Genomic DNA, 15,181 nt, shown 5'->3' with positions numbered 1-15,181 from the left:
GACCTTGAGCAAAAAAGGGGACACCAACAGGGCCTCTACCATGGGGTGGGTGGGAAACTTAGGTGGACCATCTCATCAGGAGCTCAGCCCTGTGCCTGGTCATCAGTAAACATGGTAACTGGGAGCCCTCAGGGACTCCCCCAGGGCACAGGCCTTCTGTTCATGTCAAATCTAACCACCAGACATGTTCTCCTTCCTTTGGGAAAATAATCAGACACAACCTGAAGGAAAATTACCCATGACATTTTCAGGTTTTCTAGAGACACTCATTTCCATAACTTCCCCATTTTTGGCTTGCATTTCTATAGTGCTTCAAGGGCATTTTTTTTTTTTTTTTACAGCTAGACAGAGATAGATATCTAGGCAAGATCAAATTAGCGTCAAATCCTGACATCATCCAGAATGACTCATAGTATACATTTAGAAAAACATTCAAAGAAGAATAATCAAAGAACAGCAATCATTAGAAACCCTTACTCAAATACAGAGCTGTCATTTTGATCTCCCCAGATCAGGATCTCAGTGATGGAACGGATGGTCTCCACTAGCAGGTTCCGGTTCTGTTCTGTGACTGTGGTGTTTTTGGTCAAAACGTGGTACAGATACCTGAGAGAAATGAGAGAAAAGGAAATTAAAGGTTACCAACTGAAATGCAAGCCAAGTTCCATGACCATTAGCAATATTTTGGAGACAATGCAGCAATGCTTTTTCAGGTTTGGGTAATGCAATTTCCCATTCAGATTAGATGTAACTCACAACCCCAGAAAAATAGCAGACAATGCTTTGAAGGGTTAAACCAAGGACACACCAACCCAGACGGAGACAAGAAAATCGTCAAACCCTTGAAGTCAACTACTCTCAAACTGCAGTGTGCAAGAGAACCACCCGGAGAACTGAATCAAGTGGGGGCTCCTGGAGCCCCCTCGGAAATTCAGATTCAGCAGGACTGAGAGAAGAGCAAGTAGCCACCTGTTTCATATGCTTCCCATCATGTTGATGCCTTCAGAGCAAGTGGGGACATACAGCTCAGGCTGGATGCCTAACACGGGGCCTGCAGCCAGGCTAATGTTGAGGTTTAGAGAGATGGAGCCACAGCTTAGGAAGGCTGGGTCCCACAGCAGTTGCTGGGACAAAAATCACATGCAATTCCCCTTGGAATGCTCACAATCCTTCTCAAGTGCAGTGAGCCCATCAGAACTTATGGCTCAAATGATCTGGGTGGTTTGCAGCCCAAGGGCAATGGTCTTATTTGCTGAGAACAGATTGTTAAATTCACTGAGTTAAATGGGCTGGCTGGGAGCGGTGGCTCATGCCTGTAATCCCAGCACTTTGGGAGGCCAAGGTGGGTGGATCACCTGAGGTCAGGAGCTCAAGACCAGCCTGGTCAACATGGCGAAACCCTGTCTCTACTAAAAATACAAACATTAGCTGGGTGTGGTGGCGAAGTCTGTAATCCCAGCTACTCTGGAAGCTGAGGCAGGGAGAATTGCTTGAACCTGGGAGGTGGAGGTTGCAGTGAGCCGAGATCACACCATTGCACTCCAGCCTGGGTGACAGAGCGAGAGTCTAAATAAATAAATAAATAAATAAATAAGGGCTGCAGAGGCTATGGTGCTGTACTTCATCTACCCAAACAGGCCTGAATGCCAGGTGCTGGAGCTGAGACAGGTAGACACCTTCCAGTCCTCAAGGCCTCTTTGCTGGTGGGGGAGACCAAAAGAATCACCGAGGCCAGTCCTGAGCAGCGCGGGGACCAGAAGCCTAGCTGGATGCCCTGGGAGTGCCACCGGGCACGGCTTTTAAGATGGCTTCTCCAGGGCCCACAGCCCCAGGTAACTTCACCTGTCAAGGGAGCTCAGGCTTGAGAAGGAAAAGCAGACACCAAGAGGAAGTGACTCAGGAAAAGGGCCCTCCTCTCCTGATTTCTTTTATGGCTAACTTCAGTTTTCAGGGCTGGGGGTCTGGTGAGAGCAAGGAAGGAAACGTCTAGATAGGATTGTCCCATCTACAATCTCTAAAAACGGGTAAGACATAAAGAGGAAGCAGCCTGAAGATGAAACAATAAAGAACAATCTGCTATTTAAAGGGGCTAGGGTTTATTTACGAATACTGTTTGTTATGCTTTAAAGACCTAGTATAATCAAGCATTTAATTAATTTATTAGAAATTGCATGTAATTTTTAATATGCAGTAATTAGAAGAGCCCTCAAAAAACACAAATCCTCAACCACTTGTACCCAAATCTACCAAAAGGCTGCGGGAGGGGGCATGGGCCCAGTTTCCCTCTATAATTAGGTAACTCAAACAGCACTTGAACCACCCTGGGATGAATCATTGGAGGACCCACTCCCAAATCTACATCTTCATCTTGCCTCAAGTGCATCTTCCCCAAGAGTTTCAAACGGCAGAGTTTTCCAAACTGCAGTTCCCAGGCATCCTGCATCAGAATCACCTTTGTAAGTTGTCCCAGACCCATTGAATTGGACTTTTGGTGCAGGGCCCCAATCCCACTGAAGTCTGACAGTCACCGCACCACTCCAGCTGTGGCCATCAGTGACACTCTCCACGCAGGCCCCCATGTGCCTGACACCCTGCCAGTGACAAGACATCGTTGGCAATATGGGAGAAGGGCAGATTCTCCCTCCTCTCTTCTGTGTACATCTATTAGCATCACACATCATACTCCTGGTCAATGGGAGACGGTGGCTTAGGTGGGTGGGTCTGCTCTGAAGATCCCCAACAAGAAGAAGAAATTTTAAATTCTTTAGGACCACATGACTTCAATTGATGGGGCTTTCTGCTTAGAATGCCCTTGCTGTCCTTGTCATCCAGCAAACTTTTACATTTCAAAACCCAGCTCGGGCATCTCTTGGTAAAGCGTTCCCCATGCCCCCCTCCCAGGTGGATTTAATTGTTCCCTCCTCACTGGCACCTCTGTACCCACACATATTTGCTACTGCACAGCCCACCCTCATTTGCAAAGATCTGCCTCCCATACTAGACCTGAGCTCCTCAAGGTCAGCACCATCACCTTATTGATCTTGCTGACCCCAATACACTCCAAATGTCTGATACACAGCAGGTGTTCAATAAATGCTGAATGGGGCAGGGGATGGTCTTTGTAAACATAACTTAGATCAAAGCATACACGACTGAACATAGCCAGGGATCCAAACGCCAGACACGGCAAGTGACAGCACAGAGCTCTGGTGAAGAGGTCAGGCTTCGGAGTCTGGCAGACAGACTTGGGCTTGACCTTTGGCCCTGCCACCTCCTAACTGTGGCCTTGGACAAGGCGCTTCACCTCTCTGCAGCTCAGATTCTACACAGTGGTGGGAACAGTCAAGGCTTCCTCACTGGGTTGTTCCAGAGAGGCAACGTGACCATGCACAGAAAGAGCCAAGCACAGCGCCTGGCACAGAGCAAGGGCTCAACAGAAGCAGGCTTGGCTGCCATGGTGATTAGATTATGGTCATTGTGGTGGGGGCCGTTATTCACATTATTACTACATTATCTAAGGAATATTCCAGGAAGGTAGAAAAGAGATCAGGCTAGATTCAAACAGGGAAAGAGGGCTTCAGGGCAGGAGTCGTGATGGGAAGGTTCAGCGAAACCAGAGCAGGAAGTAGAGAAAGTCTGGTATTTCCTGAGAGGCACTAGAGTATATGGTTAATTACAAACACTGGTATAATTAGAACATAGGGTTAATCACAGACACTGGAATGCCTGGGTCTGAGCACACCTCCATCACTTATTAGCTGGGTGATCCTGAGCAGGTTACTTTCCCTCTGTGCACCTCAGTTGTCTCACCAGTAAAATGTAAACAGCAATGGTACCTGAATACTTTAGTATCTACCTATTTTGGTGGTGTTGGGAGATAACAGATAACTAACTTGGCAGTTACTATGTATGATACAAGTGCTAGCTATTGTTATTGTTGCCCTTATTAAATAATTTCTGGGGGAAAAAGACCTAGTAACTACCAGAAGGCCCTTATAGGCAGAGAGGGCAGGGCGGTAAGTCCTGAAAAAAAGATTCTAGGAGCCCCCACGTGCCTGGTTCTCTGCGAGGGCTTCATGTGACCTACAGACTCACAGTAACCTGAAGATGTGCACACTGTTGCCACTGCACAGGACAAGACAGCAAGTGAGGTTTGGCGACGTTCAGTAGCTCGCCCACAGACCTGTGGCCAGGAAGAAAGGTCTGAGAACTCCATTTGTTTCTTGGCCTCTCAATACTTGGTGTTCTTTGCCCTGGTCGGTGGCGCCATCTGCTGGGTATGCAGTGATATTGCGTGGGGGCTTTCTTCCAGTAGTGAAACCGGGTGCCTGTTCATATATGTTTATGGACTGTTTGAATATCTTCTTTTGTGAGGTGCCTGTGCAAGTCTTTTGCCCATTTTTTTTTTTTTGAGACGGAGTCTTGCTCTGTCGCCCAGGCTGGAGTGCAGTGGTGCGATCTCCACTCACTGCAAGCTCTGCCTCCTGGGTTCACGCCATTTCCCTGCCTCAGCCTTCCGAATAGCTGGGACTACAGGCGCCCGCCAGCACGCTCGGCTAATTGTTTTGTATTTTTAGTAGACATGGGGTTTCACTGTATTAGCCAGGATGGTCTCGATCTCCTGACCTCGTGATCCACGTACCTCAGCCTCCCAAAGTGTTTGGATTACAGGCGTGAGCCACCGCGCCTAGCCTGCCCATTTTTAAAATTAGGCTGTGTGGCTTTTTCTTGCTTTTCTTTATATACTCTGACCACAAACCCTTTACTGGAGATAAATATTGCAAATACTTTCTCTGATGGTGGCTTACCTTTTCGTTCCCTTTATACTGGGTCTTTAGATGAGTAGAGGTTCTTAATTTTAATGTAGTTCAATTTATTAATCTTTCCCTTGGATGGTGTTTCTTGTATCAAGCTTAAGAGGTTCTTACCTACCCCAAGGTTATAAGGAAATGCTTTTTACTTCTAACAAAGTTACTGTTTTACTCTTCGCATTCTGACTTTGAGTACATCTGGAACTGATTTCTGTGTAGGATATGAGGTACTGGCCAAAATTAAGTTTTTCTATATGGAAATCTACTTGACCCAGCACCATTTACAGAAAAGGCCCTCACTTCTCTACTGCACTCCAGCGCCACCATTGTCATTAATCAGGTGACTACCCATGTGGGTCTCATTCTGGATACTCCAGTTTCATTGATCTATTTGTCTATCCTTGTATCAAGACCATACTGTCTGATTACTGCAGTTTTACAGTAAATCTTGCCATATAGTAATTAAGTCTTCCAACTTCTTTCCTTCTGTTTTTCAATATTGCCTATTCTTGGCCCTTTTAATCTCCATATACATTCAAAAATCACCTTCTTCATTTCCACAAAAATACGTGCTAAAATTTTCTTAGACTTGCCCTACATCTATGGCTAAATTTGGAGAGAACTGACATATTTACAATAGTGTAACATTCTGATATTTACAGCATTTGTTTCCATGCTCACTTGACAGGAATCTTGCAGATCTATTGTTAGAGTTGCTGCTAGGTAGTCGACATTTTTTTATGCTATTGTAAATGATATTGTTTCAAATATTCATTTTCTAAATGTCTTTTGCTGGTATACAGAAATACTCAGTAGACTGCAAGCTCCAAAGCTCAATGAGGGTTACACCTTCACCTTGCTCGTCTTTCTGTCCCACAATGCCCTGGCACACCGTTTTACACAGTGTTTTAGGAAGAGATGCTCAATATACATTTGCTTGAATGTAATGGGGGGAAAGGCTGAATGGATTAAGATTTAATGTTTTAATGGTGTATCTAATTCCAGGGCTTTGGAAGATTAGGTAATTCAACCACCTCAGAGATATAAACATTTTAATAACTTTTTGTTGTTGTTGTCATTTTCTGAGATGGAGTCTTGCTCTGTCATCAGGCTGGAGTGCAGTGGCGTGATCTTGGCTCACTGCGGCCTCCGCCTCTTAGGTTCAGGCGATTCTCCTACCTCAGATTCCCAGGTAGCTGAGTTTATAGGCGCAGGCCACCATGCCCAGCTAATTTTTGTACTTTTAGTAGAGATGGGGTTTAGCCATGTTGGCCAGGCTGGTCTTGAACTCCAGACCTCAACTGATCTGCCTGCCTCGGCTTCCCAAAGTGCTGGGATTACAGGTGTGAGCCAACTCACCCGGCCCATTTTAATAAAACCTTCTGATTATAAATGTAACATTCACTTTAGAGAAGTAGGAAACTTTGACAACAATGAAAGAGAAACGGCAACCGTGGTGCCTAGAGATGACTGCTGCTGGAGTTGCAATCTATTTCCTCGGGTCTTTTTCTTTGCTATGGATATTTACATAGTTGAGGTCATGTTGCATTATCCATTTCAGTGCCAATCTTATTTCCCACCTCAGCTAAAACAAAAGCACTTTTTTTGGTTATTGACAACTGTTTGCAAATATCTGTAATGGCTACACAGTATGACACTGAAAGGACAAGCACAGTAGCAACTCTTTTGAAGGGCATTAAGATTCCTAATTGTGTGAGTGATAACAATGTTGCTATGACCATCTTTGTATGGAAAGCTGTGTCTTTATCTCAGAAAAGTTTCAAAGGACAGAATAATTACCTTGCTACTTAACGGCAGCAAATTAAAATGTTTCTCTTACAATGATAACCACTGTTAGAATGACAACGTGTTTTCTCAAACTATGTATGTACCTCAGTAAAACAGATGAAGCTTCCTATTACTGCCAGTCTCTGTCTGAGTGCTTCGTTTAATCCCAGAAACAATCGACCCTTTGGGGATGATGCTCTGGGAGCTGAGGCATCTGCCCAGGGCCCTGGTGCAGCACAGGAGGTGCCTAGGTTACAACCAGGCAGACTGAACTCCAGACCCCATGATTACAACCCTTCTAGGACTACAGAAATGCAAACAATGAAGTAAGCAACAATTTTATTGGCCAAGAATTTACATGAGGTTATGAATGCCTAACACACAAAAAATAAATTAAAAAAACACCAAATAGATAAACCAAAAAGGCATGAAAATACTATCAGATCTTATGGAAAGTCCTTATAAAAGGCTCTAACTCCCATTTGTCTGGAAAAGAGCCAGTATTCTCATATCCCCAGCAGGAGCTCTGCAGATGCAGTCTCAATATCCGAGCTTTGCCTGTTAGCTAACTCTCCACCGACAGATGAGCTTCAGAGTTTGAAATGCCTGGAGAAGAGAAACTGTAACCAACACACTCGAGGTGCATCACCAAGGATGACAGACGTAAACAAATCTGGCCTCAATAGCCTCTGCTTTCTCAAGAGTCACTAATTTCACAGGTTAAACCACTACAGTTAATAATGCCCCATATCCTTCAAAAATTAGCAATTCAGTCCATTTCAGAGACAGGAATACTAGGTCCAAGTTCATTTCAGTGACAGCATTTTCTGCACGTGCTATGCCTTGCACCATAATGAGCTTATTAGGATGCTCCTCCTTCAAGATTTTGAAATGTACATTTGCAAGGTGGGGCATGAGAAAGGATAAGCAGAATGATAGGAGGTCTGGGGGTTAGAAATTTACCCCCCAATGTCCACACAGCTCCAAATAACAATGTCTCAGGTGTGGTAGAGGGATGGGAGACACAGAGCCTGTATCTGTCTGGCCTGTTCAGCACTCGGGCAGAGGCCCTGCAGACGTTCCCCAGTGTGTCCCACTCTGTGCCCTGAAAACCACCATCTGGTCAGTGTTCAGCCTTCTGGCCAGCAGGACAAGGAGAAGCTTCACGGAGGGTGGAATCAGGCTAGAGGATTAGAGAAGGTGTTCACAGGCTGTGCTTCCCCTGGTGAATCATCCCCCAAAGATGTCAAACAGGGCCGGCAAGTGAGGCTGGGCCGGGGATGTGTAGGGTATAGGCAGGGCTATACCCTAGCTTTCTTTAGGGCTTTAGCCCTAGAGAAAGTCATGGCTGTGGCACAGGTGCTGTGACTAAACTGGGGAGAACAAGCAGTTGTTGGGAAAAGACTGGCCTTTTCTGAAAACAGAGGTCTGCCTCTCGTTCATCCTGTGACAAATATTTGTTGATTGCTTACTATCTGCCACGTCCTGTGCTGGCATACCAGTACCCAGCTGAACAAGCCATACAGGCTTTCATGATTCTTATGTTCAAATTGGGAGAAAACAACAAAAAAGATATGTAACAAAGGAAGACAATGTCTGATAGCCAAAGGACAGGAACCCCGGCCAGCTTCCTGAGGGTCTAACTCAAGGCCGAGATGAAACTTTAAGAACGCACAGGAGCTAACAGCCGACCCACTCTTTGGCGATGAGAAGTATATAATAATGTGTTAACTGTGTGGGACAGTGTGAACAGGCACAGAAGAAGTTAGAGAAGACAGCAAAACTCTTGTTGGCTGAAGTCACCAGGGCAATTTTTAGGGAAGAACTGGCATTTTCGGGATAGAGCTAGGGATTTGGATGGGCAGGAGGAAAAGAGCAGGGGACCTCAAGTGGGCAGGCGAGGTATGTGTGTGAGTGGACCACCAACAGGAGATACACCTGGATGACAGCAGCTGCTACCGTAACTCACCAGGGGACGGCAGCAGAGCCCCTGCTCCCCGCCCCACCAACACATGTGGAGGCCCACCTCCAGTCTGCCCCTCATCCAATCCATTCTGCCAGCTTCAGCCAGACCACAGCCTTTCTGTAGTTAAAAAACCTTCAGTGGCTCCCTACTGTTCTCACTCATAGTCTGAATTCCTTAAAGTGATTTACAGGGCCCCAGGGGACCTGGCCTCTGGAGACTGCCAAGCATGGCTCTGAGCTTGGGTCCTCACTTCCTCTTCACCCAGTGAACACTCCCCTGCTGAACCACGTGAGTTCTGCCAATGTGCACTGCTCCCCTTGCCCCACTAGGCTTTCTCAAATGCCTTTTCCTCTGCCTGAAACATCCTTCCTTCCACCTGACACCCCGCTGCCTGGTAACAACGACTCACCCCGTTGGTCTCCATTTAAACAGCGTCTGCCTAACAAGGATGTTCCTAACTCCCTGTGCTCCCAAACTAGATGGTGGGAAGGCCTGGAAGAACTTAGACGTGACATAGTGGGAGCCTAGGACCCATAATATGTGGCATGGTGAAGACGATATTTTAAGAAAATCAACATGGCAATATTGTACCCCAAGCTCTAACACTGTCAGTGCCACCTTAGCCAAAACTTGAAAGCACCAAGAGTAGGTGTGCGTCTGTCTACCTGCCATGGATCCATTCTCCGCCTTCTTTGGGCAATAACCCCTGATTCTCCCATGGGGAACCACTCTTTTCTCTCATTCTTTTCCACTAGCTTGAGTGGAGCTAATCCCACTCTTGCTCCAGGGAAGGGAATATGAGTGAGGAATGGCCAATCAGATCCCCCTATACCTTTGGCCAGAGTGACAGTTCAGGGGTGGCATGAGACCTTGCTGGTCCAGGGATACTCAATCTCAATTCTGGACTTCTGCTGGCAATATTGAGAAAAGAAGCTCTCTTTTTCCTCAGGAATGCTAAGCTGATATGATGTAAGCCTGCAGCCTGCCTGAAAATGACACCAACAGGAAAAAGGTAGAGCTGAAAGGTGGAAAAAGGCCGATTTCTGACGGCTCCAAACACCTGGATTCAGCCATGGTTTAGCGGGGACAGACCATTCAGTGACATGAGCTATTCAATCCATTTGAGGCTTAAGGCAATTCTAGCTGGGTTTCTGTCACTGGAACCAAAAATCTTGACCCCCACACAAAGTGGACCAGAATGAAGGCCACAATACAAAAACGACCAATTTCTACCAGCCGCAGACTTGCAGTCCCTGGTAAAGATGATGTTTCAGTAGCAATCAAACGATTCCATCACTCAGGCTTCCGCTTGGTGGTGGACATTTGTCAGTCAATGTCACAGCCTTGCCACTAATCTGGACAATAAACCACCCATGGTGTGTAGCAAATAACCTCTTGACTACTTCAATCTGCCTGAGCTAAATCACTAACTCAGTTCAGCAGACAGAGACCACAGGTATGAAGTTTTCTACCATTTAGCAAAAGTAAAACCCTAACAGGAAAATTCCTTTCCAGTTTGCAAGCTGGGAGTGTTACAAAGAATAATGAAGCTAAAAACAGTTTCCAGCTCTCTGTGCTATCTTCTCAACCTTTCTGTAAATCTCAAACTGTTCTAAAAAAGTAAAGTCTAGGCCGGGTGCAGTGGCTCATGCCTGTAATCCCAGCACTTTGGGAGGTCAAGGAGGGCAGATCACAAGGTCAGGAGATCGAGACCATCCTGGCTAACACGGTGAAACCCCGTCTCTACTAAAAATACAAAAAATTAGCTGGGCGTGGTGGCGGGCGCCTGTAGTCCCAGCTACTCTGGAGGCTGAGGCAGGAGAATGGCGTGAACCCGGGAGGCGGAGCTTGCAGTGAGCCAAGATCGTGCCACTGCACTCCAGCCTGGGCAACAGAGCAAGACTCTTATCTCAAAAAAAAAAAGAAGAGGGTTTCCAGATGCCTTGTGTATTTAAAAAATAATAATAATAAATAAATAATTCTTTTAACTATCTTAAACTTTCCCTCTCCATCCATACTGCTCTAGGTCAAGGTAAGAGTGTATTAAGAACTGTCACTTGTCACTGGTAGGGTGACCAGTTTATACTAGTTTGTCCAGGACTTTCCCAGTTTTAGCACTGAAAGTCCCATATCCTGGGAAACCCCTCAGCCCAGGCAAACCAGGACGGTTGGTCACCCGAAGTGTCAGATAAATCCCAAGCCCCTTCCTACTTCCAGCCTTGTTTCCCACAGCTATCAGCCCCCACCTGGACATGCCACAAAACCCGCAGGGTCCTGGTCACAGTGCTCCGCCTCCCGCCCCTGCTGCCCGCCAATGGTGGCTTCTGTTCATTCTTGGAGAACCCGCGCTGGTGTTGTCTCCTCCAGAAAGCTCCCAATAAGGGTTCCCACAGAACCCTGGGTCCATGGCGATCTCAGCACTTATCACACTGTACAGTCACTGGCTCTACAGCTGTCTCCCCCACCAGCCTGCAAACTCCCTCAGGGAACGAGCTGTTCTGTACCCAAGACCCAAGATGTTTACCAACAGAGCCAAATGCAGAGTGGCACAAGCCCCAGGGTGGGCACTGGCTGTTTACAAAACTCTTTTCCAAGTCACTGGGGGATCTTCTAACCCCCCCACCAATACACAAATCTCAGGTTCTTGGGGCTGTAATATGGATTAAGCTGATCTGCCTGATTCAGGGCAGGCAACTTGGGTTTCCAAAGAAGCATCCGATAGACATGTGATCTAAACAATGAACCCAGGCAGTTCCCAGGATACTGCAAAGGAACCAGAGACCGTTTACCATTCCCTGCTGGCTGGCAAAGATGCCCCATTGGCGATGAGACTCAGCCAAGTCAAAAGTGTTCTCAAACAGACTTATTGGGAAGTTTTATTCAGAAAGACAGTATAATGAGCACAAGCTCGGGAGTCAAATCCTGCCTCTGGTACCCTTCAGCTGCTGACACCTGGGGGCAAGTCACTGAAGCCCCCTGAACCTTAGTTTCCACTTCCGTAAAATGGAAACAATAATGGTTCCTGTAACTCAGACTTGTGAGGACTAAGGGAATTAACACACAGGCAGTCCTTAGCAAATACCTGGTACAGAATAATGCATTCGATAAATTAATAAATTAAGGTAATTTAAAAGGGCTAGAGTTAAGCAGAGTTAGGTGAGAACCTGGAGGTACCTGGATGCCGGCAGGAGGCCCAACCTCCTCTGGATAACTCCCCTCCCCTCCTCAGCCACCTCCGCCCACTCGATAAATTCCTGAAATCCTTCAACCACTCCCTTTCCCGGCCAGCTGCCCTCCCATCTAAGATCCCCACCTCCCTACCCACCCCAGACTTGTCCTGGGCCTCTTTCCTCCCCTTGTCTTCTCTCACCACCTCCTGCTCTAAAAGTGCCCCTCACCACATAGTGAACCCTCCTGCTCCCCACTCTTCAAGACTCACAAACGTTTACTAAATGCTGCTCCATGCTAGAAAGGTCACAGCTGAGAACTGTGGCCCTGCCACTACCCCTACCCCACTCCCGGGGACACATGAGAAGTCCCTATCTAATTCCCTCCCACCAATCCTTTCCACAGCCCCGTCTCCCTTCCACTACTTCCCACCATATCCCTAACCCTATCTTCCTCCTTTCCCATTAGTAGTCTCAGGATCTCCTTCTGGAAACCTGCCTATTTCTTGACACTGAAGATTTGTCTACTCCCCTCTTCAGCATCCCCGCCATTTCCCTCCCTAAAGCCTTTCCCTTCATACAGATCTCTATTTTTCATCATCCTCCACACCTGCCCCCAAATCCTGGGTCCTGGCCTGCATGCTCTTCATCTCTCCCCAATTCAATCATTCATTTTTCCACTCTTTAAGTAAGCAGAGAGCAGTCCTAGATGCTGGGAATACAACTGTGAACAAACCAAGCAGTCTGTGCCCTCGTGAAGTGCCAGTTTAACAGAAGACAGAAAATAAGTATAAATAAAAAATAAAGAATAATCGCAGAGAGTGGAGAAGCACTCAATGAAAGCAAGAGAAAGATGTGATGGATAGGAACTGGGATGGGGGGAGCACGTTAGGTAGGGTGGTCTGGGAAGGCCTCGCTGAGCTGATAATAAACACAGCTACCACTACTGGCCACCTACTATGTACCTACTGGGTCAGTCACCTTCCATTTCCATTACAATGTTCACGATCCCCATTTGCAAATGGGAATCTGGAGGCTCAGAGAGGTGAAGTAATTTGCCCAAGGTCACACAGCCAGTAAATGGTGGTTTCAGGATTTGAACGCAGGTGTGGCTGCAAAGCCAGCCTCTTAATTTCTGCACTCCTGGTCCCAAGACCCTATCTGCCACCTGTCCTCCCCCAGAGCTGTAGAGTCATTCCCTCCTCAGAGGTCTCTATTTTTCATCATCCTCCCCAATCGCCCCAAAATCCTGGGTCTCAGCGTGCATGCCCCCAGCTTAGACTCCCCTCGGAAAATAATCTGTTCTTTTATAATAATTAATGCCGTTTAATGAGCAATTGTACGTGTTCTGAGCTTAACGTTCATTCTCTTATCCAACCAACTCTCAACACAATAGCAGGAAGCAGGTGCTGTCACTCTACTCTTTTTACAAGTGGGGAACCTGAGGCCTACATTCACACAGATAGATTCGGACCCAGATCTGCCCGACTCCAGGACCCAGGCCTTTGACCCTCTAAGCTGTTCAGTTTAAGAAGTACCCCGCCAGGAAACTTGGTGGACACCGTCAAGAACAAAGTCTGTGTCCATAAACTGAAATCGCATCCTCTCGCTTTACAGGTGGGGATACGGAGACTCTGAGAAATTAAGCGACTTGTCCAAGGTCACACAGCCAAGAGCGACGGGGTCAGGGTTCGAACCCAGGCGCCCTGACTCCCGAGCCCTCGCTCTTAACCACCACACGGGCTTCCCCGGGCGCCCTTCGCCGCCGCTCTCACGCCTCCTAGAGCCCCGACCCGGAGCTCGGCGCCCCGTCCCCCTGTCCAGCCCCGAGGCCTCCCGCTACGCCCCCCACACTCACTTGAGGTGGTCCAAGGAGTGGATGTTGCGGGAAGTCTTGCCATGGCCCCCGCCCACCCAGCTCCGCGAGCGGCCAAACATGTCGGCGGCCCCGACCCGTCTCTCGTCTCACGGTCTCATGCCGGACCAGCAGAGCGGCCCAGCGCCCGCGGCGGTAGCACAAGCGGAGGATGCGGCGGCGGAGGCGGTGGAGGAACCGCGAGCCGCCTTCCTCCCCGGCCCACAGCCCAGCACTGACATTCAGCCGGAACCGGCCGTTCGACCGCCGCGCTTTACGGCCGCCGCCGCGTGGGGCGCTGGGAAATGCAGTTCACCCGCGTGGCCTTCGGCGGCAGGACTCCGCGAACGGACTACAAGGCCCGGCATGCATCGTGCAACCGCGGGCCTACGGCCATCCACAAAAGGCGGGGCGAGAGGAGGAGCGACCGCAGAATCCTCCGGGTGGGCGGGAATTGGAAGCTTTGGGCGCAGTCCCGGAGAGGGAATCGGCGTAGATGGGTCAAGGAAAGTCACCACTGTAGTAACAATTACTAGATTTATAATAAGAATAAGAATAGTATTGGATGGTGTATACTATGCAAAGCCACTATCCTAAGGGCTTTACATATTAAGGTATTTAATTTTCACAACCATCCTATGAATTGGGTACTATTATCGAACCTATTTTATCATCAGGGAAACGGAGTCACTGAGAGGTTGACTTACCCAAGATCATGCAGTTAACAAGTGGCAAAACCAGGGTTCATAACCACGCACGCACCCTTATTTTTCATTCCCTTTATAAACCAAAACGGCACTAGATAACAACCTTATTTGTCCTGACAGCCTTTTTCTTTTTCCACTTCAATTAAGTGTGTGTGTGTGTGTGTGTGTGTGTGTGTGTGTGTGTGTGTGTGTGTGTGTGTGTTGGAAAAGGCTGGATGCAACAATGCACCAAACTGAACATTTTGTACTTCCAGAGGATTCCTCTGGTCTTCAGCCAGAATCCATGCTATTTCCCAAAGTACCACGTTAAAATGAAAAAGGAAACACCCAACTTTCTGCATGAGCCAGAATATATCTAACTTCTACCCTGGATTAGAAGTGGTAAGTTCAGTGTGGGCAAGACTTCTCAAGTTTACCATCCATTCATTCATTCAGTCACTTCTACATATCAACCTTATTAAAGGTCCACTGTGTCCCATTAACTCTGCTCAAGAAAGAACTGGGCCAGAGGCCAATGTTCTCCCCAGTGCCTAGCACAAGGTTTGGCACATAGCAGGTGTTTAACAAATATTGGTAGAGTGCATGAATGAGTAAAGGTTTGTTTCACCTTCAGCAGTTGGAGAAATGGATAAGAGTGGAGAGTTAATGGTTTGTCCTGTAATTCATATAGAGTGGGGCAAGACAAAGTCATGGAGCAAAAAAGAACAGGATCTGGCCTCCAAAGAAACACACCCAGGCTCAGAAATGTAGGATCCCTGGGCTCGTATTTTTCATCTGTAAAAAGTACGCACATACATACTACACTGCCTTGTATACCTCCGATTAAGCGATGCATGTAAAATACTCAGCTCAGTGTGGCCTGAGATTTAAAGGTTTCTTGAACTGCT

General features: G+C 47.4%; 1 protein-coding gene across 38 annotated transcripts in view, besides 4 other annotated features; it reads right to left on the bottom strand.

Moving 5' to 3' along the window:
- Positions 1-13,824, bottom strand: part of CLEC16A (C-type lectin domain containing 16A) — a 237,623-nt gene extending 223,799 nt beyond the window's left edge. For all 38 annotated transcript variants that reach the window (NM_015226.3, XM_005255214.3, XM_011522434.3 and 35 more), the window contains exons 1-2: positions 13,591-13,824; positions 478-606 (exon numbers count right to left, since the gene is read on the bottom strand). In NM_015226.3, the coding sequence (NP_056041.1) occupies positions 478-606; positions 13,591-13,670 (209 nt within the window). In that variant the 5' untranslated portion in view covers positions 13,671-13,824. The remainder of the gene's footprint in view (positions 1-477; positions 607-13,590) is intronic.
- Positions 4,341-4,410: an enhancer, noted in NCBI's record as "active region_10405". NCBI's record gives its function as "activates an Ori minimal core promoter by ATAC-STARR-seq in GM12878 lymphoblastoid cells {active_cell/tissue: GM12878}" and the evidence as "EXISTENCE:reporter gene assay evidence [ECO:0000049][PMID:35858748]".
- Positions 8,675-8,824: an enhancer, noted in NCBI's record as "active region_10404". NCBI's record gives its function as "activates an Ori minimal core promoter by ATAC-STARR-seq in GM12878 lymphoblastoid cells {active_cell/tissue: GM12878}" and the evidence as "EXISTENCE:reporter gene assay evidence [ECO:0000049][PMID:35858748]".
- Positions 13,752-13,811: an enhancer, noted in NCBI's record as "active region_10403". NCBI's record gives its function as "activates an Ori minimal core promoter by ATAC-STARR-seq in GM12878 lymphoblastoid cells {active_cell/tissue: GM12878}" and the evidence as "EXISTENCE:reporter gene assay evidence [ECO:0000049][PMID:35858748]".
- Positions 14,032-14,211: an enhancer, noted in NCBI's record as "active region_10402". NCBI's record gives its function as "activates an Ori minimal core promoter by ATAC-STARR-seq in GM12878 lymphoblastoid cells {active_cell/tissue: GM12878}" and the evidence as "EXISTENCE:reporter gene assay evidence [ECO:0000049][PMID:35858748]".

The sequence above is a fragment of the Homo sapiens genome, chromosome 16 (genome assembly GCF_000001405.40).
Source record: "Homo sapiens chromosome 16, GRCh38.p14 Primary Assembly".
Taxonomy (NCBI): Eukaryota; Metazoa; Chordata; class Mammalia; order Primates; family Hominidae; genus Homo; species Homo sapiens.
This window is presented reverse-complemented; position numbering and strand designations above follow the sequence as displayed.